At 37.3% G+C, this 25,368-nt stretch overlaps 4 annotated features.

The window, feature by feature from the left end:
* Positions 4,190-4,359: an enhancer, noted in NCBI's record as "experimental_85873 CRE fragment used in MPRA reporter constructs". NCBI's record gives its function as "activates a minimal promoter by MPRAs in K562 erythroleukemia cells, with activity observed for the introgressed 5:44196389 or rs79468888 variant allele {active_cell/tissue: K562}" and the evidence as "EXISTENCE:reporter gene assay evidence [ECO:0000049][PMID:34662402]".
* Position 4,274: a transcriptional cis regulatory region, noted in NCBI's record as "Neanderthal adaptively introgressed variant 5:44196389 (GRCh37/hg19 assembly coordinates) or rs79468888 in the experimental_85873 CRE". NCBI's record gives its function as "modulates activity of the experimental_85873 enhancer by MPRAs in K562 erythroleukemia cells {active_cell/tissue: K562}" and the evidence as "EXISTENCE:reporter gene assay evidence [ECO:0000049][PMID:34662402]".
* Positions 15,146-15,315: an enhancer, noted in NCBI's record as "experimental_85853 CRE fragment used in MPRA reporter constructs". NCBI's record gives its function as "activates a minimal promoter by MPRAs in K562 erythroleukemia cells, with activity observed for both the introgressed and non-introgressed 5:44185433 variant alleles {active_cell/tissue: K562}" and the evidence as "EXISTENCE:reporter gene assay evidence [ECO:0000049][PMID:34662402]".
* Positions 16,028-16,197: an enhancer, noted in NCBI's record as "experimental_85852 CRE fragment used in MPRA reporter constructs". NCBI's record gives its function as "activates a minimal promoter by MPRAs in K562 erythroleukemia cells, with activity observed for both the introgressed and non-introgressed 5:44184551 variant alleles {active_cell/tissue: K562}" and the evidence as "EXISTENCE:reporter gene assay evidence [ECO:0000049][PMID:34662402]".

Below are 25,368 nucleotides of genomic sequence, written 5' to 3'. Positions count from 1 at the left end.
GTGCAAGCTGTTGGTGGATCTACCATTCTGTAGTCTAGAGAACAGTGGCCCTCTTCCAACAGCTCCACCAAGCAGTGTCCCACTGGGGACTCTGTGTGGGGGCTCCAACTCACATTTCCCCTCTGTAGTGTCTTAGTAGAGATTCTCCATGAGGATTCCACCCCTAGAGCAGACTTCTGCCTGGACATCAAAGCATTTCCATAGATCCTTTAAAATCTAGACGGAGGCTCCCAAGCCTCAGCTCTTGCCTTCTGCACAGCCACGGGTTTACCACCACATGGAAGTCTTGGCAGCTCCTGGCTTGCATCCTCTGGAGCAGTGGCCTGAGCTGTACTTTGGCCCCTTTTAGCCATGGCTGCAGTTACGACACAGGGCGCCATGTTCTGAGGCTGCACAGAGCAGCAAGGCCCAGAGTCTGGCCCATAAAACTATGTTTCCCTCCTGGACTTCTGGGCCTGTGATGGGAGGGGCTGTCATGAAGGTATCTGAAATGGCTTGGAGGCATTTTCCCCATTGTCTTGGCTATTAACATTCAGCTCCTCTTCGCTTATGCAAATTTTTGCAGTTGGCTTGAATTACTCCCCTGAAATGGGTTTTTCTTCTCTACCACATGTCCTGGCTTCACATTTTCCAAACTTTTATGCTCTGCTTCCCTTTTAAATATAACTTCCAGTTTCAGGTCATTTCTTTGTTTATGTAAAATAGTGTTGGATTTTAGAAGCAGCCAGGCCACATCTTGAACAGTTTGCTGCTTAGAAATTTCTTCTAGTAGATACCCTAAATCATCTCTTTCAAATTCAGAGTTCCACAGAACTATAAAGCAGGGCCACAAGGCTGCCAGTCTCTTTGCTAAAGCCTAGCAAGAGTAAGCTTTATTCTACTTCCCAATAAGTTCCTCATCTCCATTTGAGACTTCATCAGCTTGGCCACTAATAATGCATCATTTAATGCACTATCAGCATTTTGGTCAAAACCATTCAGCAAGTCTCTATGAGGTTCCGAACTTTCCCTCATCTTCCCCTCCTCTTATAAGCCCTCTAAACTGTTCCAACCTCTGCCTGTTACCCAGTTCCAAAGTTGCTTCCACATTTTCAGGTATATTTATAGCAATGCCCCACTTCTCTGGTACAAATTTTCTGTACTAGTCAGTTCTCACACTGCTATGAAGATATACCTAAGACTGGGTAATTTATAAAGAAAAGAAATTTAATCAGCTCAAGGTTCTGCAGGCTATACAGGCTTCTGCTTCTTGAAAGGTCTCAGAAAACTTCCAATTATGGCAGAAGGTGAAGAGGAAGCAAGCATAGTCTTCACATGGTGGAGCAGGAGAGAGAGAGTAAACAGGGAAGTGATACACACTTTCAAACAACCAGATCTCATAAGCACTTACTCCATTTTGAAAAGTCTCCATTTTGACACAGATTTTGTGGTGCTTCCAAGAATGCTATCAAGCATTCCAAGAATGCTCCAAAAATGTTGTCCAAAACATTTTTCAAACTCTTTCCTTGGAATTATCTATAGAATGTACACAACCTTATGATTTTCTTGTTTTATACCTGCCCTAACTCTCTAGAAGAAAACATATTCTGCTATTAAATTAAAAGTACATATATATTAATTCCATCTGTCAAAATTATGATTTAATTGCTAAACTTTGAAAGTTTTAATGTGAAAAAAATTTCCAATGATTTTAAATGAAATTTATTTCACTAGTAGCTTTTTGTTTTGCTTAAATGAGAGAAGAGATTAACTTTATTGAGTTCCTACTAAGTACCAGACACTGTGCCCAGTTTCACATATATTCTCACACTTAATCATGCCAGTTAGGTAGAATTTTCCCAGTTTTATACGTGAGGAAACCATGGCTCAGAGAGATCTTGTTCGAATTTACATGACCAGTTATTGATTATTTTAAATTGCTAATTAGAATTATATAATTCTAACTCTGAAAAAATGGGATTTTCCTATAAGACATAATGAAACCATTTTGAAACAACAATAATTACAGTTATAGCATCATTGCATAGTTCACAAAACATAATACATCTTTTTCCCCTTGGGTCATTTCAGCTGGCAAAATATATTAAGCAATTAGAACAAATTTGGAGTCATAAGTCATGTTTAGCAAACAAATGGAGTAAAAATGGCCACCAAATTTTGGCTTATGAGCAATATCCTCTGTGTGATCTGTATTCATATTTATTAACATATGGTTTAAATTTTGGCTTTTCAGTGAGTTGTAGTCAAAGTACATTCAAACACATTTTAAATGAAAAGACACTTTATGTTCAAATACTTCAAACAGAGAGATAGTGTTTTGATGAGACCATTAGAAGAAAATTGCCTGAATTTTCTGTTTTCATAAACCATGGCACTTTTATGTGTGTATGTTCTTAGGGCTAGGGTGAGTTTTAGGAAAACTGGCATTATCTTACTGTAATTTTTCCTAACTTCCCATTTCTGGTGAAAAGTAAATGAGTTATGCAGGATATATGTTGAATAACAACATTATCTTAAATATCAGAAAGTCTTATCAAAGTTATTACTAAATATATTTAAGAATTCATATAATAATAAGAAAATTGAGCAGTGACATGGATTTTATCAAAAGCAAAAGAACAGTTTAAGGTTAATTTCCAGATATGTGACAGATCTAGTTTTGTGTAAACTTAAAAATATGTAAAAAATGTTTTCTTTTTCTGATGCCCCTCAAAACTTAAAGTTTGTCTACTACTAAAAAGTAGTTATTTATCAGGTCATAAAATACCATCAATATTTTCACATTTAAAAAAATGATAAAATATTTATGCCATAGGGCAAATATTAAATCATGATAATCAAGTCAAGGGAAAATGTTACCTTTTGAGTTAGAGGATATACATTTTTTCCTTACTCTTATTTTTTAAACTATAGACCATATATTTGAACCAAGAAAGATGGAAAATGTAAGTTGTATTTATGGAGTTTCCATTAGGTAAGTTCTAAGGATGATCCACTTCAGTAGTGATATGAGGGGCTCTGTAGACCCTCTCCCTGGCAAAACCATCACAAAACAACAACCATTTAAGGCTTTTATTAAAATTGAAATTGTCCAAAACTATTGAACAAATGAAGAAACATTTATTCAAAAATATCTAACAAGTCTCCATGAGAACAGTGATAGTCTGTGCAGTGATAGTCTGTGCACTTGAGCCATAATTCACTCCTTTCTGCCTCTCTCAGCTCAACAAGACAGAATTCCTGCTCAATGTAAATCTGGCCAAGAATATGGGGCTCCTTTTCTCTTCATCTCCCAGGAAAGAAGATGTCCCAGTAGGGGAAGACCATCATAATTTCTTATCTCCTTCCGCCTGCAGCTTTGTGCTTCAGATGCTACAGTTCAAAGCAAGTGTGGCCAAGAGGTTGAGGGATCCTGTCTCCCACAGAGGTCTCACTCATAGGGTGGAGGCTCTACCTCAGTCATGGCAAACAGAGAATACTCTGTTCCAGATTGTACTCATTCCAGCTAGCTAATAGGACAGAGGTTTTACACCAGAAGAGGCAAGCTAGGAAGACAAAAAGGTGACTGCATCCACCCAGCATCCTGCTTGCAAAAAGGGTTGTTACTGAGAGAAGTGGGCCATTATCTTCATCCCTAATCCAGAGTAGCAGTTAAGAGACTTTGCCAAAGAGGAGAGGCAAGGTACAAAAACAAAGAGATCTGATGCACTTCCCAAAGGAACTAACATTATTTAATACAGAATGGGAGGAAGTTCAAGCTAATAGTGCTCCCAAAAACATGGACATTTAGGTGGTACACAATTAAGATTAGGATGGTAGCTCCGTGAAAGCAATAGGCTAAACCATAGGTCAGCTGGTTTACTAGTGAGAACCAGAGAGGAGATAGTGAAGAAGAGTTCTCTAGCGTAAGAAAAAAATATCAAACACAGTCCTCTAAAACTATTCCTGCAAAAGGACCCAACTTAATTTGATCAGACTTGGGTACAATTTATTCCCCCAGGTATTGTCCAAAAAAATTAAAAATGAAGTAATTAGCTGTCAACATCTGAGAGTGATCCAGAGACAGAGACTGACAGAGAGATCAAGGAAAGAGACAAAGACAGGCTTGCTAAAACCACTGTCATTCAAGAGTGACTGTGTGCATGCCTAAAATTGCACACTCTGTGGAGTAACATCAGAGACTTCACACTTAGTGGGTGAGTGAGGGGAAGGAGAAGGCTTCACTGCACTGGTTTATTCAAGTAACTGCACAAATAAACAAAGAATAACAATAGGAAGACCTGAAGTGGAAGGTGGGAATCAGCATACAGAGTTGTTTTAATTATAATATCTTATCTAAAATATTGAGTTTCCAACAAAAATTACAAGACATGCAAAAAACAAAGCTGAGGTTAGAATGACCATACACAGTGAAGAAAAACTCGAGCAATAGAAACTGCCCCTGAAAGCAACCAGAGAAACTGCCCCTGAAAGCAACCAGATGTTTGGTTTAACAAATAAGACTGTTTTTTTTCTTTCTTTCTTTATTTCTTTTTTTTTTTTTTTTTGAGACAGAGTCTCACTGCGTTGCCCAGGCTGGAGTGCAGTGGCACAATCTCAGCTTACTGCAACCTCCACCTCCCAGGTTCAAGCGATTCTCCTGTCCTAGCCTCCCAAGTAGCTGGGACTACAGGCATGCACCAGCATGCCTGGCTAATTTTTGTATTTTTAGTAGAGACGGGGTTTCACCATGTTGGCCAGGCTGGTCTCGAACTCCTGACCTCAGGAAATCTGCCCGCCTCAGATTCCCAAAGTGCGAGATTACAGGCGTGAGCCACTGCGCCCAGCCAAATAAGACTGTTTTTTAACTTTTAAGTTCAGAGATACAAGTTTGTTTGTTTGCAGGTTTGTTACATAGGTTAGCTTGTGTCATGGGGGTTTGTTGTGCAGATTATTTCATCACCCATGTATTAAGCCTAGTACTCATTAGTTATTTTTCCTGATTCTTTCCCTCCTCCCACCCTCCACCCTTCAATAGGCCCCAGTGTGTGTTGGTCCCCTCTGTGTGTTCATGTGTTCTCATCATTTAGCTCCCACTTACAAGTGAGAACATGTGGTATTTGGTTTTCTGTTCCTCCATTAGTTTGCTAAGGATAATGGTCTCCAGCTCCATCCATGTCCCTGCAAAGGACCAAATCTCATTTTTTTTTATGGCTGCATAGCATTCCGTGGTGAATATGTACCACATTTTCCTGATCCAGTCTACCATTGATGAGCATTAAGTTGATTCCATGTCTTTGCTATTTTGATGAGTGTTGCAATGAACATATATGTGCACATGTATTTTTAATAGGATGATTTATATTCCTTTGGGTATATACCCAGTAATGGAATTCCTATGTTGAATGGTATTTCTGTTTTTAGGTCTTTGAGGAATCACCATACTATCATCCCCAGTGGTTGAACTAATTTACACTCCCACCAATAGTGTATAAGTGTTCCTTTTTCTTCACAACCTCACCAGAATGTTATTTTTTCACTTTTTAGTAATAGCCGTTCTGACTGGTGTGAGATGGAATCTCACTGTGCTGTTGATCTGCACTTCTCTAAAGATCAGTGATATTGAGCTTTTTTTTCACATGATTGTTGGCCACTCGTATGTCTTCTTTTGAGAAGTGTCTGTTTATGTCCTCTGTCTACTTTTTTATGGGGTTGTTTATTTCTTTAAATTTGTTTAAGGTACTTATAGATGCTGGATATTAGACCTTTGTCGGATGCATAGTTTGCAAAATTTTTGTCCCATTCTGTAGATTGCCTGTTTACTCTGTTGATAGTTTATTTTGCTGTACAGAAGCTCTTTAGTTTAATGAGATCCCATTTGTTAAGTTTTGCTTTTGTTGCAATTGCCTTTGGTGAGTTCATTATGAAATCTTTGCCCCTGCCTATGTCCTGAATGGTATTGCCTAGGTTGTCTTCCAGGGTCTTTAAGTTTGGGGTTTTACATTTAATGCTTTAATCCTGCTTGAGTTAATTAACAAATAAGATTTTAAAGAAGCCATTATGAATAAATTCAAAGAACTAAAGGAAATAATTTTTAAAGAAGTAAAGAAAGATATCATGGAAATGTCTCATTAAATATGGAATGTCAAAAAGAAAGTTTAAAAAGAATCACATGGTAATTCTGTAGGAAAAATGTGCAATAGCTCCAATAAAAATTCAGTAGACAGGATCCACAGATTTGAAATGAAAAAAGGAAAGTCCATGAACTTAAGATAGATCAATAGATTTGGCAATTTGAAGGACAGGGATAAAAAAAGAATGATGAAAAATAAACAGAGTGACAAGAAATGTGGGACATCTTTAAGTATACCAACACATGTGTAAGCAGAGTACCAGAAGGAGAGGGAAGGAAGAATAGAGAAGAAAATATGCTCAAGGAAATAGTGGCAGAAAACTTTCCAAGTTTGATGTTAAAACTTAATCTTCACATTCAAGAAGCTCAACAAAATCTAAGATAGATGCAAAGAGATACGTACTCAGTACACTATAATAAAAATGTTGCAACCCAAAGACAAGGAGAAAATATTGAAAGCAGCAATATAATTATAGCTTGTAGCATACAAGTAAAGCAAAGTAAGAGTAACAGCTAAATTCTCATCAGAAGCGATGGAGGCCAGAAGGCAGTGTAATGAAATATTCAAAGTGCTGAAAGAAAACCAAACTGTCAACCAAGAATCTTTTATCAAGTAAAACTACTTTTCATAAAGGAAGACAAAATAAAGGCATTTCCAGATGAACAAAAATATGGAGAATTTGTTGCTAGCAGACTAACTTTACTATAAGTACAAAAGAAAATTATACATGCTGAAAGTAAGTGAATGAAATTATAAGACAGTATAAATACATATTTTTTCTTTATTGTTTTAACTGACCTTAAAATAAATTGAATAAAACAGTATTATACAACTGTGTTTTTTGATTTATAACATAGAAATGTAACATATTTAAAAATAACAGCAAAAGGGGAGTGCAAAGGAGAAAACCTTATTGGAGTAAGGAAATGAGATCCATCAGATGGTAACACTTCAACCAAAAAGGGTTCATCAGACTGAAAAAAACACTAGCAATCTGAACAACAAAAATTGAACAATTCAAAAATGAAATAAGAAAACACTTTTACTTGCAATACTATCAAAAAGAAAAAATACTTAAGACACTTATAAGAAGCACAAAACTTATACTCTGAAAACTATGAAGCATTGCTGAAAGAAATTAAAGTAGACATATTGCAGGACAGTTTTCAGGTGGCCTTAGACCAACCCAATTCTTCCTTCTTTCTTGCCTAAAGTTCTTACGAATAACTACAAAATGTACTGAGAATGCAAAAACATTAATTTGGACATAATTAATAACATCATAGGCAAAAGTAATGTCTAATGGGTCATATATTTAAATGTAAAAGTTAATTTATAAAACTCTTGGAAGATAACATAGGAAATACTTATAATCTTGGGTTTGGAAATATCTTCTTAGATGTGACAGCAAATGCACAACTCACAAATGAAAAAATAGATAAACTAGGCTTAATCAGAAAGTATAACTTTGGACTGGCAGACAGTTTCTCAGGTGGGTATTGAGGCTGATGAGTGCCCTTGTGGAATGTTATTTGTGCCCTATTTCTTTCACAGGTGTTACTCCCCAGTATTTTTTTTCCCATTTCCAGCTCCATCTCAGAGTCTGCTTTTTGGAGAACCCAAATTATGACAGTTGACACCAAGAGTAATCCAAAACATCACCTGGTAAAATGGAATTTGTGGACTCAATAATATTGCAGACAACAGTGAAGCTCTTATGTCCAATGGCAGGTCATGTTCAATTGACCCCTTGTACAATATGGCCATACACTTGTTAAATGTTTATTGATGGTGAGCTTGGATGTCCTGCCTATGGCAGGGAATTCAGTATCAAGATGTCATAACCCAGGGTTAGAAATACATGAAGAAAATAACAAATACATGAATATTAGGATTGGATGGTTGTTACTAAGTTACAGATTTGATATTGCAAAGCTGAGAGCATAAGAAGACACATAGAATTTTCTGATGCTTGCAAAGAAGCCCTCATCTCATGAAGTATGCCAGCAGAGAAAAACTGAAAATCAAGTCCAAGATTTGAGAATTACAGTCGCCAAATTCTGAAGATGGTTGAATGCTTAATCAATGTATGTCTGGAAAACCTAGTAATCTGACACATGGAATGGGAATGTTTGGTGGCTATCCCCAAAGATTTGATTCCCAAGATTTATCTGAACCTTCACAACTTGTGCAATTGGGCCGCCAGTCCCCATTAAGAGCCAGCTCTTGCCCCATCTGAGAAGACAATTCAGAAGACTTTCCCCTCACAAGGAAAAATGTGCTCCTTTAAAGACTTCCTGGCTCTTCTGGCTAACAGGCCCTTAATGAGAGTTACATAGGAACATAATCCATCCAGGTAAGTGCTAGGTCTGATGAAGGAAGAAAAAGACTATGCTCCAAACCAGCTGCAAGTTCTAGCAAGCATGTTCCATCATACTAGATTTTCAAAATGTCAAATTAAGGAGGCTAGAATGTTAGAATGTATAAGAGACTTTATTGACTTGGTTTTCTCTTGGATTGGAGAATTTACCACCCTAATAAGAATCTCAGAGGGTGGTGCAAGCTCTCTGCCAGGGTGTCTGCTAGCCTGTAAAAAGCAATAGCTCATGCTAAGTAAGTTTAAGTTGCAGAATTACTATGAAGACAGAAGGAATAAAAAGGCTCAGAGAGGTGAGCATTCTGGAGTAGAAGTATTACATAAGGCCAAAGACCCACCAGAGTATTACATTCCACAGGAGGAACCATAATTTAGAAGTTACACCACTCACCGGGGCCACCAGGAATGCACTGGAGAGGGGGCAACAACATCACTAAGAAGTTCAGTGATGGCTGTCCTCTGTAAGCCAGAATAATAATGGGCAAGGCTGTGTAAAACTTGGCTCATTGATAGGCATGAGGTTGATAGAATCCCAAAATAATAGCAGATGGTGTCCTCAATCACTAGATGTTACTGGATTATAATTATGGTAAGGATCAACAAATCTGAGTGGCAGCTAAGTGAGCCTCACCTGTAGAGAGTAATAGAGATCACAGCATTCTAGAAGCAAAATAAATGGAAATCCAACAAAGGAACTACATATACAATCTAAAGAAGCCAAGAATGAATGAGCAGTTTCCCCAATTAAAATTTATAACTTTTTGCTTCATTTCTGGATCTGAGCTAGTTTTCAGGCCCATGATCTATTGACTAAAAATTTCTAGTTCCCCAGGGGAAAGTGCCCTGTAACAACATGGCAAGTAAATATAAACACTGTAATAATTTTCCCAGTTCTTCCTCAAGGGACCTGCAGTCATTATTTGTGGGATTGTATACTGAGTCAAAGGGAATACCCTGATATTGGAAAACTTTTGGTATAGAGTCCAAGATGGCTATGATACCTGAAGACCAAAAATGTCAGTATTATGCATCTGGTAGAGTGGGGGAATTTGGAAGCTAGATTAAAAATAAGATTCTGGCCAAAGTCTGACATACAGTGGGTCCACTGGGTCCACAGACTCACCCAGGGGTCATTTCTCCAATCCTTTAATATATAATGATTACTGACATATAAGGGCCCATTGGGTCCTTAGCCTTTAGGATAACAGTCGTTCTTGTGTATAATTCCAAGTAGAATCCTTTGAAAGTGTCCACTCACACATTTGAATCTAAACAGTAAAACAAAAGCAACATTTGTGCCACCTTTAAAAATCTAAACGATGCAGGGTAGTAGTCATATTCCTATTTGATTCACTTGTCTAGACCCTTCAGAAACTATATGGATAATGGAGAATAACTGTGTATCATAAGCTCAACCAAATAAAAGTTAACCCTGATCACAACTGATCACAACAAAAGCACACATGGTTTTGTTGCTACAGCAGGTTAATTGGCCTCAGGTACATGGTATATGGCCCCTAATCTAATGAATGCCTTACTTCCCTCCTCAAAATCAGATAAAGTATCAGAAACTGATTGTATACATAGGTAATACAAAAGAATTTTTATTTACAGTGTGGCCTATCTTATCCTCTGTCCTAATTTTATCCAAAGAGATCTGGATCCGGTAGACATTCCACAAAACATCATATGGATCCATTATATCAATAACATCATGTTAGTCAATAAGTACAGACAAAAGGTCATTCACATGTTGGAGACCCTGGTGAGATTCATGTATTCCAGAGGGTAAAGATAATCCCTATGAAGATTTAAGTCTGTATCATTTCAATAGTTTTTAGGGTCCACTGGTCAGTGGTGCCAGTGGTCCCCTCCAAAGCAGAAGACATACTTGCTTCATATTACATTTCCTATCATGAAGAAGGAAGCACAGTGCCTGGAAGGCTTCTTTGTGTTCTGGAGGCTTAGAAATACTATTCCAGCTCATATATGATTGTCATGGAAGGCTACTAGCTTTGAGTGGAGACTATAGCAGGAGAAGACTCTGCAGAAGGCCTGCACTGCAATGAAAGTAGTGTTGCCACTTGGACCATTCTATCCAGCAGACCCTATGGTACTGGAGGCATTAGTACTAGAAAAAAAAAAATGCAATATCTGTTTTATGGCAAGCACCATTGAGAGAATCACAAAGCAGGCTCCTGGGATTTTGGAGCAAGGCCATAACATCTGCAGTGGAGAGTTATACACTATTAGGAAAACAGCCTCTGGCATGCTACTGGCCCTGGTAATGATGGAATGCTAGAACATATGGAGACCAAGTGACAATGCAGCTGGAACTGCAGCTGGACAATGCTGTTGAACTACTAAGTGTTGTGCTGAATCCTTATTACCCTCAATAGGGAAGGCACCAATTTCAAGAGGCTGAAGAAAAGACCCAGAGCCAGCAAATGAGATGTAGAATTTTATTAAGGGCTTCCATACCATGGGGAGAGTCCTGTGATGGGGGTGCTGGACAACATATCCACCTTACATGTTGTCCAGTGGCAGTGGGCTGGACAACATATCTGCCCTACATACAGTTCAGTGGCAGCGGGCTGGACAAGATAACCACATGGCCCAGTGGTGGGAGGCTAGGCAGGAAAACCGCAACCACTTGCAAACAGCATGCTGCTTATATAGCATTTTCACTTAACACCCTCCCCTTAATGACCTCCACCTGGCAACCTTCATCCAATCCAAAACTCATGGCCTCAATCCCCTGTATGACCCTTGTTCCATTAGATAGGATAGGGGCTCAGATGTCACTCATAGACAAGGAATTTGTTTCAGGATTGGCCATTCCCAGATTCCATAGCTCAGAACACACATTCGGGTGTATCTGCCATTCAGGGTAATTCCAAAGGTGTATTTGTTATTGCTTTTACATGTGTTTATCCTACACCAAGTCATAAAGTCAGGCAAGCCTAGCATAATCTATCTCAACATGAAAATAATACATCCAGGACCAAGCATGAGCAAGCCAAGCAGGCATAAGGAAGCTGCAGAAGCTCAGTCTCACATGTCACCCATCACACTTGCATCAATGCCTCGTTCTTACTGCACAGTAATAGATAAATGGAAAATCCTATGCAATCACCTTAAAGAGCTTAAAAAGGTATGAGTTTGCATTATGGATGGATATGTTGAGTAACTATAAAAACCAAAACTGTTACAAGCTGTATCACAGCCCTACTCAAAAGCTGTCTTGAAAGACATTGGCAAAGGTAGTGAAACTGGCCATCTGCTTTGTTTGTATACAACAAAGCTGTCTAATAAAAAATCTTGTGTGAGCCACAAATGCAAACCCCATATATGAGCTTTACTTTTCTAGTAACTACATTTTAAAGGAAGTATTTAACTCAATATACCTAAAACATTATCATTTAACCTATAATAACTACTTTAAAATTAATAAAATATTTTACATTGTTTCATGATAGGTTTTATGTATCTGGTTTGTATTTTACAACTACAATACATTTCAATTTGGAACATCACATTTCAAGTGTTCAATTGCCTTATGTGATTAGTGGCTATGTTATTGAACAAAGTATGTTTAGAATATACATAGGCACACGGGAAGCAGCAATTGACCTGGCCAACTTGTCAGGGGCCTGGAGGAAGAAAGCTTGTAATATCAGAGGCAAGAAGCTCTAGAGTAGAGGCATGTGGGTGAGCATAAGAAGAGGCCACAAAGGGGACAGTTCTTTGTATCACACATTAATGGTAACCATAAATTACTTATAATGGAAGAGGCACTAAACACTCAAGTAGACAAAATGTCTTGGCCAACTGATAATAGCCAGCCATTGTCAACAACCGCCTCAGTACTGATACAATGAGCACATGAACCAGCTGGTCACCATGGTAGTGATGAAGGCTATGCATGTGCCTGGTAACTATGGCTCCTGCTTAGCAGGGTTGATCTAGCTCTGCCACCTCTGAAAGTGCAACTTTCTAGTAACCAACGTGCACCCCTGGTATATCATTATTCCTCAAGATATTCTACTCGCCACTAGTGGTAAATTAATTACATTTGATCTCTTTTGTCTTAAAAGGGACAAGGGTTCATGCTCATGAGAATAAGCACCTATTACCAACATATATTTGCCTTTCCCACCCATCAGGGTCTTACTATACCACGCAATAGATGACAAAAACTGCAATTACTTTTGCACAAACCTAATAGCACTAAACTTTTATACGTGCAATATAGCACTAACTTCTTTTAAGTTTACCCTTAGCAAGAGAGGCCCACCACAGCACTGAAGAAGCTTCTCCCCAAATGAGTATAGAGAAGAGGATCAGCACAGCACAAAGCATGCACTGTGGCAAACACGGAGATGTAACACTCAAAACATACTTCAATATGTTTTTGAAAGAAAATATGTTTTTGAAGCAAAGGAATTGCTGCCCAGCTGTGAAGAATGTGGCCGACAGCTTCCAGCAGTTAGATTTGGCAGAGTCCACCTCATTCTCTAGCCCAGGTTATGCTAGTCTCAGGATACTTCCTGATCAATTACATAGCAGTAGATGAGGACATACACTACTTGGGGTAGCCAATTCATTCAAGTCAATGAATAGGCAATGATACCAGTGCCTAGCTATTTCTACTCAATACTGACTTCTCTAATAGGACTTCTTTACTCCAGAGCTCTTTCCCAGGCTGTCAGATTGAAATTCTGTTTTCATACTTTTCCTTTTATAGGATTACTCTCCAGTGAAACTTGACACCCCTAAATCTATCTCAGAGTCTCATTCTGGGAATACTGACCTGTGACACTAACAAGTCAGAACCACAAATGAGTTCTGGTCATGAGAGCAAAAGTGCCCTGACAGTGACAGGGAAAACTGAAAATTGAAAGGTAGATGGCTTTCTCTATAAATAAAGCTTTAACTATATTTTATATTGGAACAAAGATTATATTTTTAAAACACAAGAAGTTTTGTTAATTAAATGTAAAGCCACACATGGAATTTGGAGTAAGGAATTTTGAAGACATACCTCCAATTTTCTTTGCTTCCTCCTAATCTGAGCTTTTGTGATATCTGTAATTTACACAAATACCTCACCATAGACAGTTCAATGTGATATACATTATATATGTACGTAATTCACATCTTGCTTGATAATAATACGCATTCTCTTTTTCACCTCTTGCTGAATAATAATCCACCTTCTCTTATTCACATCTTACTTGATAACAGAGCTTTGTAATTTGAATACCATATGTCAAAAATATGTTTCTATTGATAAAATTAATGACTTTCTTATTAGCAGAATACCTGTTAGATATTAGCTTTCACAAGTTAAATCAGAAGCTATTCAAGTAAAGTGAATTGGCTAAAACTATTTTAGAGACAATTCCCTATACTTTTATGTACAGGATATAAGAATCCTACAAAGTCTTTCCCCTTTCTCCTTAGTAACAGTGTTGAGGTTTAATCCCAAAATAGCCCTGTATGCAACCATTAGTTTAGTAGGATTTCTCTTGGCCTGATACTCTCAGGGTAGCAGAATTCTTCTTCTGAAATGTGTTGCATATCCCTTGAGTGATCTTTCATGCAAGATTGAAGATGCTTTAAAAAGGTAGTAGATCTCCAGAAAGAATAGAAAGCTGGAACTTCATCAAGCTTATAAAGCAGGTTGAGCAAACTATTTTTTGCCTGCTTACTAATAATTGTTAGTTTAATTACTGTCTGTACATATTGCAGATTTTTGTCTAAAACTTTCTTTTGTTATACTTGGAAGGGAATGGTGGGGAAGTAGCTAACCTTCATTCCTTCAAAATTTTTATAAAATCATTAAATTATTTACCTCCCATGAAACTAAGAATTTTTTTAGTTATTATGCTAACACTATAATTTAGTTTATAAAAGATAAGCTATTTGTAATACAAGTCTTCAGCACCAATTTCTACAAATCTAAGATGACTGGAGAAGGAAGAAACTCTTGATAAAATTGATTTTAATGATACAACGAAGAAACCCAATAAAATTTCACTGAAAAACTTTAACAGGCTTGGGATTTTCTCTTTGCATTGGGAGAATATTAAATGCTTTAAACAAAAACATGTTGAAATCCATTTGGCATATGATTTATGAAGCGAGCTAATTTTAGAGAAATTTGCCAAAAGTAAATCCATAATTTTTTTTTTTTACCAAATTGACCTAAATTGGTTTAGTCTTTGGGGGAACTATTTGCTGGCTATAAAAGTGAGCATAAGCAAATCTGATGTACAAATATAAGTATGTTTTAAATATACTTTTAGAATAATTTTGATATCTAATTGTTAATCTCAAAGCTGATTTTTAAAAATAACTGAGTACAATTTCTTTTAACTCAGGAAAAAAAATATTGCAAAGCACACCTGCAAAGCATCATAGATTTACAACAAAATAAATTCTACAATCTTCTTCAGCATCTCAGAAATTGATGTAGTTATCCTAGTAGGTTATAAATACTGCAAATAGGAGGGGCTCATTAAATAACCCTCTGACAGATCCTAAATTACAGTAGTCTATGGAGGGAAGACTGTATTGATGAAGTCATCTGCAAAGCAGTTACATCCTAGTTAAATTTTTTCAAGTTGTGAACATTGAAAACAGACCTGGATGAAAGCTATAAATTTAAGGAATATATAATAAGCCAACTAAACAGTTCCCAAGAGACAGATTTGGAACAGTTTTATTGCAAGGTCTGAAAGTAAACAGTTAATAAACTATACATGTTGATAAAATAACACCAAATATTTATTTTTAAAATAGCATCACACTTTGGTAATTATTTTACATTTTAATAAACATGGATAATCTCTAATTTGAAGTTAATATGTGCTGTTTTACTAAGCAAAGAATAAAAGATATTGTGAGGTGTGTGTATACGTCTACATGTGTGTTTAATTAAACCCAGTGTTCAAACGTAAAGCAATTAAGATGCACCCTGAGAAATTGAAACTAAATATCATAAAGGTCTTCAAAGTTATGTTATTGCTTAGCCTTTGGGCATGAAAATGTTTACTAGGGGCAGTAGACGTCTATAGGAAATTCAAAGTTTTCGTAGGTATTGAAAGACAATTTAGTGCTCTGCTAATCTACTATTTAATAAGCAATACAATAAGATTGTTATTCAGAAGGGTTTAGAACCAAACAGTTTGGGTTACAGTCCGAGATCTGCAACTTACTAAATAGGTGACATTAATCAAACTCATTAATTTTTTACTTCTCGGTTTTCTCACCTCTAACATAAAGATGAGAATAAGGTTCTGAGGAAGATATCACTAAGGTACTTAGTAGAGTGCCTGACAAAATACTAACTTCTTAATGAATGTAACATTAATATTATTATCATTAATCAACTGAGAAATTGCAGAGTACAACATGGTGTAGAAAGTTAAAAGAAGTGGATATTGCTCATGCCATCAGTGTTTTAAAAATCAGATCAACACAGTGCAAGAACTCTGGCAACTCAAAAAGCTAGGGTGTCTCCTTACCTCGAAATAACCACACTAGCTTCCCAGCAATGGTCCTTAACCAGACTGAAATATCTGCAATGACAAACATAGAATTCAGAATTTGCGTAGCCATAAAGAAAGTTGAAAACCAATTCGAGAAATCTAAGCAATCCCATAAACTGATACAACAGCTGAAAGACAAAATAGCCATTTTAAGAAAGAAACAAACTGATCTGATAGAGCTGAATAACTCACTATAAAAATTTCATAATACAGAGGAAAAAGGAAAAAAAATGGCAGATAGGAGGCAGGAGTAACTTGCAGCTCCCACTCAAATGGACACAGCAGCGTGTGGAGACTCACATCGTGAACTTTTGCTCGAAGAACTACCATAGGAACATATCAGGGAAGCTGAGAGAATCCACAGACCCTTTAAAGGGATGGATTGCCACTGCAGGCTCCATGGGACAAGCCAAGGAACTGTGAGTCTGCTCTCTTTCTAAGCTGGGAGGCTTGTAACCTGGGGCAAGTTCTCAGCCCTGCTACCGGCTGCCTGGAAATAACTCAGTGCTGTTAAGAGGGCATGGTGAAAGTGAGACCTGCCTTTCGGTTGCAGGCTGTGTGGGAGCTGATTAAGGCCTGTGGCTGCTGGTTTTCCCCCACTTCCCTGGCAACCTGTGTGACAGAGCAGAGGCAACCATAATCCTGCTGGGAACATAACTCCATTGGCCTTGGAAACACACCCCCATCCCCCACAGAAGCCGCAGTAAGCCCTGCCCAAGTCTAATCCTGCCCCCAACTGATGGTCTTTTTCTACCTGCCCTGGTAGCCAAAGGCAAAGGACATAATCTCTTCGGAGCTCTATGGCCCCACCCACTGCCTGACCCTAGGGCAAGCTTGTATCCTCCCTATACTACTGCAGCTGAAGTGCTCTTAAAAGCGTTACTCCATGCTGGAAGCCAACCAATACAAAACCATCACACTGAACAAAAATACAACCAAAGACTCTCACAGAGTCCTTACTCTCCTGCCACCTCTACCAGAGCAGGTGCTGGTATCTATGGCTGAGAGACCTGAAGATAGATCACATGACAGAACTGTTTGCAGCCACTCCCCAGTGTCAGCCTGGAGCCTGGTAGCACCACTGGGTGGCTGGATCCAGAAGAGAAGTACTGGATCCCTTCCTTACACCTTACAAAAAATTAATTCAAGATGGATTAAAGACTTAAATGTTAGATCTGAAACCATAAAAATCCTAGAAGAAAACCTAGGCAATACCATTCAGGACATAGGCATGGGCAAGGACTTCATGTCTAAAACACCAAAAGCAATGGCAACAAAAGCCAAAATTGACAAATGGGATCTCATTAAACTAAAGAGCTTCTGCACAGCAACAGAAACTACCATCAGAGTGAACAGGCAATCTACAAAATGGGAGAAACTTTTTGCAATCTACTCATCTGACAAAGGGCTAATATCCAGAATCTACAATGAACTCCAACAAATTTACAAGAAAAAAAAAACAACCCCATCAAAAAGTGGATGAAGGATATGAACAGACACAAAAGAAGACATTTATGCAGACAAAAAACACATGAAAAAATGCTCATCATCACTGGCCATCAGAGAAATGCAAATCAAAACCACAATGAGATACCATCTCACACCAGTAAGAATGGCGATCATTAAAAAGTCAGGAAACAACAGGTGCTGGAGAGGATGTGGAGAAATAGGAACACTTTTACACTGTTTGTGGGACTGTAAACTAGTTCAACCACTGTGGAAGTCAGTGTGGCAATTCCTCAAGGATCTAGAACTAGAAATACCATTTGACCCAGCCATCCCATTACTGGGTATATACCCAAAGGATTATAAATCATGCTGCTATAAAGACACATGCACACGTATGTTTACTGCGGCACTATTCACAATAGCAAAGACTTGGAACCAAGCCAAATGTCCAACAATAATAGATTGGATTAAGAAAATGTGGCATATACACACCATGGAATACTATGCAGCCATAAACAACGATGAGTTCATGTCCTTTGTAGGGACATGGATGAAGCTGGAAACCATCATTCTCAGCAAACTATCACAAAGACAAAAAAACCAAACACCACATGTTCTCACTCACAGGTGGGAATTGAACAATGAGAACATATGGACCCAGGAAGGGGAACATCACACACTGGGTCCCGTTGTGGGGTGTGGGGAGGGGGGAGGGATAGCATTAGGAGATATACCTAATGTTAAATGACGAGTTAATGGATGCAGCACACCAACATGGCACATGTATACGTATGTAACTAACCTGTACGTTTTGCACATGTACCCTAAAACTTAAAGTATAATTAGAAAAAAAAAATTCACTGCAGTTTGGCTGTGAGGAAGCCCCATCCCTAGGGGAAGGCAGAGAGTATTAAATAAAGCGATCACTCTATGGGACAAAAGAATCTGAACAGCAGCCCTTGAGCTCCAGATCTTCCCTCTGACATTGTCTACCCAAATGAGAAGGAATCAGAAAAACAACTGTGGTAACATGACAAAACAAGTTTCTTTAACACCCCCAAAAGATCGCACTAGCTCACCAGCGGTGGATCCAAATCGAGATGAAATCTCTGAATTGCCAGAAACAGAATTCAGGTCAATTATTAAGCTAATCAAGGGAGCACCAGCAAAAGGTAAAGATCAACTTAAAGACATCAAAAAAATGATGCTAGATATGAATGAAAAAATCCCCAGTGAAACAGATTGCATGAATAAATAACAATCACGACTTCTGGAAGTGAAGGATACACTTAGAGAAATGCGAAATGCACTGGAAGGTATGAGCAACAGAATCAAACAAGAAGAAAGAAGAACTTCAGAGCTCAGAGACAAGGTTTTTGAATTAAACAATCTAACAAAGACAAAGAAAAAAGAATTGTTGGAAAATGAACATAAACTTCAAGAAGTTTGGGATCATGTTAAACTACCAAACTTAGGAATAATTGGTGTTCCCAAAGCAGAGAAATATAAAAGTTTGGAAAACATATTTGAGGAAATAATCAAGAAAAATTTCCCCAGCCTTGCTAGAGATCTAGACATCCAAATATAATAAGCACAAAGAACATCCGGGAAATTCATTGCAAAAAGATCATCACTTCAGCACATAGTCGTCAAGTTATCTAAAGTGAAGATGAAGGAAAGAATCTTAAGAGCTGTGAGGCAAAAGCATCAGGTAACCTGTTAAAAAAATATCAAATTAACAACAGATTTCTCAGCAGAAACCCTACAAGCTAGAAGAGATTGGGGTCCTATATTTAGCCTCCTTAAACAAAACAATTATCAGCCAAGAAATTTGTATCCAATGAAAGGAAAGATAGTCTTTTTCAGACAAACAAATGCTGAGAGAATTTGCCACTACCAAGGCAGCACAAAAACTGCTAAAAAAAAAAAAAAAAGCTCCAAATCTTGAAACAAATCCTCAAAATAAATCAAAATAGAATCTCCTTATAGCATACATCTCACAGGACCTATAAAACAATAACACAATGAAAAAAATTCAGGCAACAAATAACATGATGAATAGAACAGTACCTCACATATCAATATTAATGTTGAATATAAATAGCCTAAATACTCCACTTAAAATATGTAGAATAGGCCAGGCACAGTGGCTCACGCCTGTAATCCCAGCACTTTGGGAGGCCGAGGTAGATGGATCACGAGGTCAAGAGATAAAGACTATCCTGGCCAACATGGTGAAACCCCGTATCTACCAAAAATACAAAAATTAGCTGGGCGTGGTGACATGCACCTGTAGTCCCAGCTACTCGGGAGGCTGAGGCAGGGGAATCGCTTGAACCCAGGAGGCAGAGGTTGCAGTGAGCTGAGATTGTGCCATTGCACTCCAGCCTGGTGATGGAGAGAGACTCTTCGTCTCAAAAAAAAAAAAAAAAAAAAAAAAAAAAAAAAAAGATACAGTATTGCAGAGTGAATAAGAATTCACCAACCATATATCTTTTCAAGATACTCACCTGACACAGACATAAGGACTCACATAAACTTAAGGTAAAGGGGTGAAAAAAGATATTACTTGCAAATAGACACCAAAGTGATCAGGAATAGCTATTCTTATATGAGACAAAACAAACATTAACAGAACAGCAGTTAAAGAAGACAAAGACAGACATTATATAATGATAAAATGACTAGTCCAACAGGAAAATATCACAATCCTAAATACATATGCACCTAACACTGGAGTTCACAAATTTATAAAACAATTACTACTAGACCTAAAAAATGAGATAGATGGCAACACAATAATAATGGGGGACTTCAATACTCCACTAACAGCACTAGACAGGTCATCAAGATGGAAAGTCAACAAAGAAACAGTGGACTTAACTATACCTTACAACAAATGGACTTAACAGACATTTACAGAACATTCTACCAAACAACTCCAGAATATGCATTCTATTCACCAGCACATGGAACATTCTCTAAAATAGACCATATGATAGGCCACAGAACAAGTCTCAACAAATTTAAGAAAATTGAAATTATATCAAGTACTGTCTCAGACCACAGTGGAATAAAACTGGAAATCAACTCCAAAAGGAACCCTCAAAACCATTCAAATACATGGAAATAAAATAACCTGCTCCTGAATGATCATTGGGTCAACAATATACTCATGATGAAAATTTAAAAATTCTTTGAACTGAACGATAATAGTGACACAACCTATCAAAACCTCTGGGATATAGCAAAAGCAGTGCTATGAGGAAAGTTTATAGTATGGAATGCCAACATCAGAAAGTCTGAAAGAGCACAAATAGACAATCTAAGGTCAAGCCTCAGGGAATAAGAGTAGCAAGAAAAAACCAAGCCCAAATCCAGCACAGAAGAAGACAGATCAGAGTAGAACTAAATGAAATTTTTTAAAAAATACAAAAGACAAATGAAACAAAAACTTGGTTCTTTGAAAAGATAAATAAAATTAAGAAACCATAAGCAAGATTTACTAAGAAAAGGGGAGAGAAAACCCAAATAAGCTCAACTGGAAATGAAATGGAAAGTATTACAACCAATACCACAGAAATACAAAAGGTCATTTAAGGCTACTATGGACACCTTTATGTACATAAACTAGAAAACCTAGAGGAAATGGATAGATTCCTGGAAGAATACAGCCCTCCTAGATTAAATCAGGAAGAAATAGAAACTCTGAACAGACCAATAACAGTGAGATTGAAATGATAATTAAAAAGTTAACAACAACAAAAAAAGTCCAGAACCAGATGGATTCACAGCAGAATTCTATCAGACATTCAAAGAATTGGTACCAATCCTATTGAGACTATTCCAAAAGGTAAAGAGGGACTCCTCCCTAAATTATTCTGTGAAGCCAGTATCACCCTAATACCAAAACCAGGAAAGGACATAACAAATAAAGAAAACTACAGACCAATATCCCTGATGAACATAGATGCAAAAATTCTCAACAAAATACCAGATAACCGAATCCAGCAACATATCAAAAGTATAATACAACATGATGAAGTGGGTTTCATACCAGGGAAGCAGGGATGGTTTATCATACACAAGTTAGTAAATGTGATACACCACATAAACAGAATTAAAAACAAAAAGTACATGATCATCTCAATAGATGCAGAAAAAGCATTTGACAAATTCCAGCATCACTTTATAATTAAAACCCTCAGCAAAATCAGCGTAGAAGGAACATACCTTAAGGTAATAAAAGCCATCTATAACAAACCCACAACAAACATTATACTGAATGGGGAAAAGTTGAAAGCATTCCTTCTGAGAACTGGAACAAGACAAGAATGCCCACCTCCGCCACTTCTATTCAACATAGTACTGGAAGTCCTAGCCAGAGCAATCAGACAAGAGAAAAAATATATAAAGGGTATCCAAATCTGTAAAGAGGAAGTCAAACTGTTGGTGATTGCACAAGATATGTTCGTATACCTAGAAAAACCTAATGACTCATCCAAAAAGCTCCTAGAAGTGGCAAATGAATTCAGTAAAGTTCAGGATACAGAATAATAAACAAAAATCAGTAGCCCTGCTATACACCAACAGCAACCAAGCTAGAATCAAATCAAGAACTCAAATCCTTTTACAATTAGCTGCAAAAATAAAATAAAATATTTAGGAATATACTTAACCAAGGAGGTGAAAAATCTCACAAGGAAAACTATAAAACACTGCTAAAAATTATCATAGATGACACAAACAAATGGAAACACATCCCATGCTCATGATGGGTAGAATCAATATTGGGAAAATGACCATACTGCCAAAAGCAATCTAAAAATTCAATGCAATTCCCATCAAAATACCACTATCATTCTTCATGTAACTAGGAATAAAATCCTAAAATTCATATATAACCAAAAAAGAGCCCACATTGCCAAAGCAAAACAAAGCAAAAAGAACAAATCTTGAGGCATTACATTATCTGACTTCAAACTACACTATAAAGTCATAGTCACCAAAACAGGATGATACTGGTAAAAAAAAAAAACAAAAAACAAAAAACAGGAATATAGACCAATGGAACAGAACGGGGAACCCAGAAATAAAGCCAAATACTTTAAGTCAACTGATTTTTGACAAAACAACAAAAACATAACGTGGGAAAAGGACACCCTATTCAGCAAATGGTACTGGGATGGTTGGCAAGCCACGTGTAGAAGAATGAAACTAGATCCTCATCTCTCACCTTATGCAAAAATCAACTCAAGATGGTTAAAAGAGTTAAATTTAAGACTTGAACCATAAAAATTCTAGAAGATAACATTGAAAAAAACCCCTTCTAGACATTGGCTCAGGCAAAGACTTCATGACCAAGAACCCAAAAGCAGATGCAACAAAAACAAAAATAAATAGATGGGATTAAATTAAACTAAAAAGATTTGGCACAGCAAAAGAAATAATCAGCAGAGTAAACAGATAACTCACAGAATGGGATAAAATCTTTGCAATGTATACATCTGACAAAGGACTAATATCCAGAATCTACATGGAACTCAAACAAAACAGCAAGAAAAAAGCAAACAATCCCATGAGAAATTGTACTAAAAACATAGACAATTCTCAAAAGAAGATATACAAATGGCCAACAAGCATATGAAAAAAATGCTCAACATTACTAATGATCAGAGAAATGCAAATCAAAACCAAAATGTGATACTACCCTGCTTTTGCAAGAATAGCCATAATCAAGAAATCACAAAATAATAGATGTTGGCATGGATGTGGTGAAAATGGAACACTTTTACACTGTTTGTATGAATGTAAACTAGTACAACCACTATGGAAAACAGCATGAGGATTCCTTAACTAAAAGTAGATCTACCATTTGATTGAGCAGTCCTACTCCTGGTATCTACCCACAGGAAAAGAAGTCATTATGTGAAAAAGATACTTGCAAACGCATGTTTATAGCAGCACGATTTGCAATTGCAAAAACATGGAACCAGTCCAAATGCACATCAATCAATGAGTGAATAAAGAAAATGTATATATACACCATGGAATACTACTCAGCCATAAAAAGGAATTAAATAATGGCATTCACAGCAATCTGGATGGAATTGGAGACCATTATTCTAGTGAAGTAACTCAGGAATGGAAAACCAAACGTATGTTCTCACTCATAAGTGGGAGCTAAGCTATGAGGATGCAAAAGCATAAGAATGATATCATGGACATTGGAACTTAGTGGAAAGGGTGGGAGGGGGTGAGGGATAAAAGACTACACATTGGGTAGAATGCACACTGTCTGGGTGATGGGTGCCCCCAGATCACAGAAATCACCAATTAATAACTTATTATACACAAAATATATTTTTTAAATTTTTTTAAAAGCCTTTAGGAACTAAAAAAAAAGAATTTCATAATACAATTGGAAGTATTACCAGCAAAATAGACCAACTTGAGGAAATAATCTCAGAACTTGATTATGGCTTCTTTGAATCAAGTCAGACAGACAAAAAAAAAAAAAAAAACCTCTAACAAATATGGGATTATGTAAACAGACCAAATCTATGACTCACTGGAGTCCCTGAAAAAAAGGAAGAGAGAGCAAGCAATTTGGAAAACTTATTTGAGCATATTGTCCACAAAAATATCTCCAACCTCGCTAGAGAGGTCAACATGCAAATTCAGGAAATTCAGAGAATCCCTGTGAGATAACATACAAGACAAACATCCCCAAGACACGTGGTCATCAAGTTCTCCAAGGTCAAAGCAGAAGAAAAAATATTAGCTGCAGAAAGAGAGTAGGGGCAGGACACCTACAAAGGAAACCCCGTCAGGCTAATGAGGACCTTTCAGTAGAAATGCTACAAGCCAGAAGAGATTAGGGGCCTATCTTCAGCATATTTTTTAACTTTTATTTTAAGTTCAGGGATACATATGAAGGTTTATTACATAGGTAAACATGAGTCATGGGGGTTTGTTGTACAGATTATTTCATCACCCAGGTATTAGGCCAATAGTTATTTTTCCTGATCCTTTCCCTCCTCCCACCCTACACCGTCCAAAGGGCTCCAGTGTGTTGTTCCCATCTATGCATCCCTGTGTTCTCATCATTTAGCTCCCACTTATAGATGAGAACATGGGGTATTTGGTTTTCTGTTCCTCCATTAATTTGTTAAGGATAACGCCCTTCAGCTCCATCCATGTCCTTGCAAAGGCCACAGTCTCATTCTTTTTATGACTGCATAGTATTCCATGTTGCATATGTGCCACATTTCTTTATCCAGTCTATCACTGATGGGAATTTAAGTTGATTCTGTCTTTGCTATTGTGAAGAGTGTTGCAATGAACACATGCATGCATGTGTCTTTATAATAGAATAATTTATATTCCTTTGGGTTTATGCCCAGTAATAGGGTTGCTGGGTCAAATGATATTTCTGTTTTTAGGGCTTTGAGGAGTCACCACACTGTCTTCCACAATGACTGAACTAATTTACACTCCCACCAACAGTGTATAAGCATTCCTCTTTCTCCACAACCTCCCAGCATCTGTTATTTTTTCTTTTTAATAATAGTCATTCTAACTGGTGTGAGATGGAATCTCATTGTGGTTTTGATTTGTATTTCTCTAAAGATCAATGATATTGAGCTTTTTTTCATATGATTGTTGACCACATGTATGTCTTATTTTGAAAAGTGCCTGTTCATGTTCTTTGCCCACTTTTTAATGAGATTGTTTTTTTTCTTGTAAGTTTGTTTAATTTCCATATAGATGCTGGATACTAGACCTTTATCAGATGCATAGTTTGCAAAATTTTCTCCCTTCCTGTAGGTTGTCTGTTTACTCTGTTAATACTTTCTTTCACTGTGCAGAA

The sequence above is a fragment of the Homo sapiens genome, chromosome 5 (genome assembly GCF_000001405.40).
Source record: "Homo sapiens chromosome 5, GRCh38.p14 Primary Assembly".
NCBI lineage: Eukaryota > Metazoa > Chordata > Mammalia > Primates > Hominidae > Homo > Homo sapiens.
This window is presented reverse-complemented; position numbering and strand designations above follow the sequence as displayed.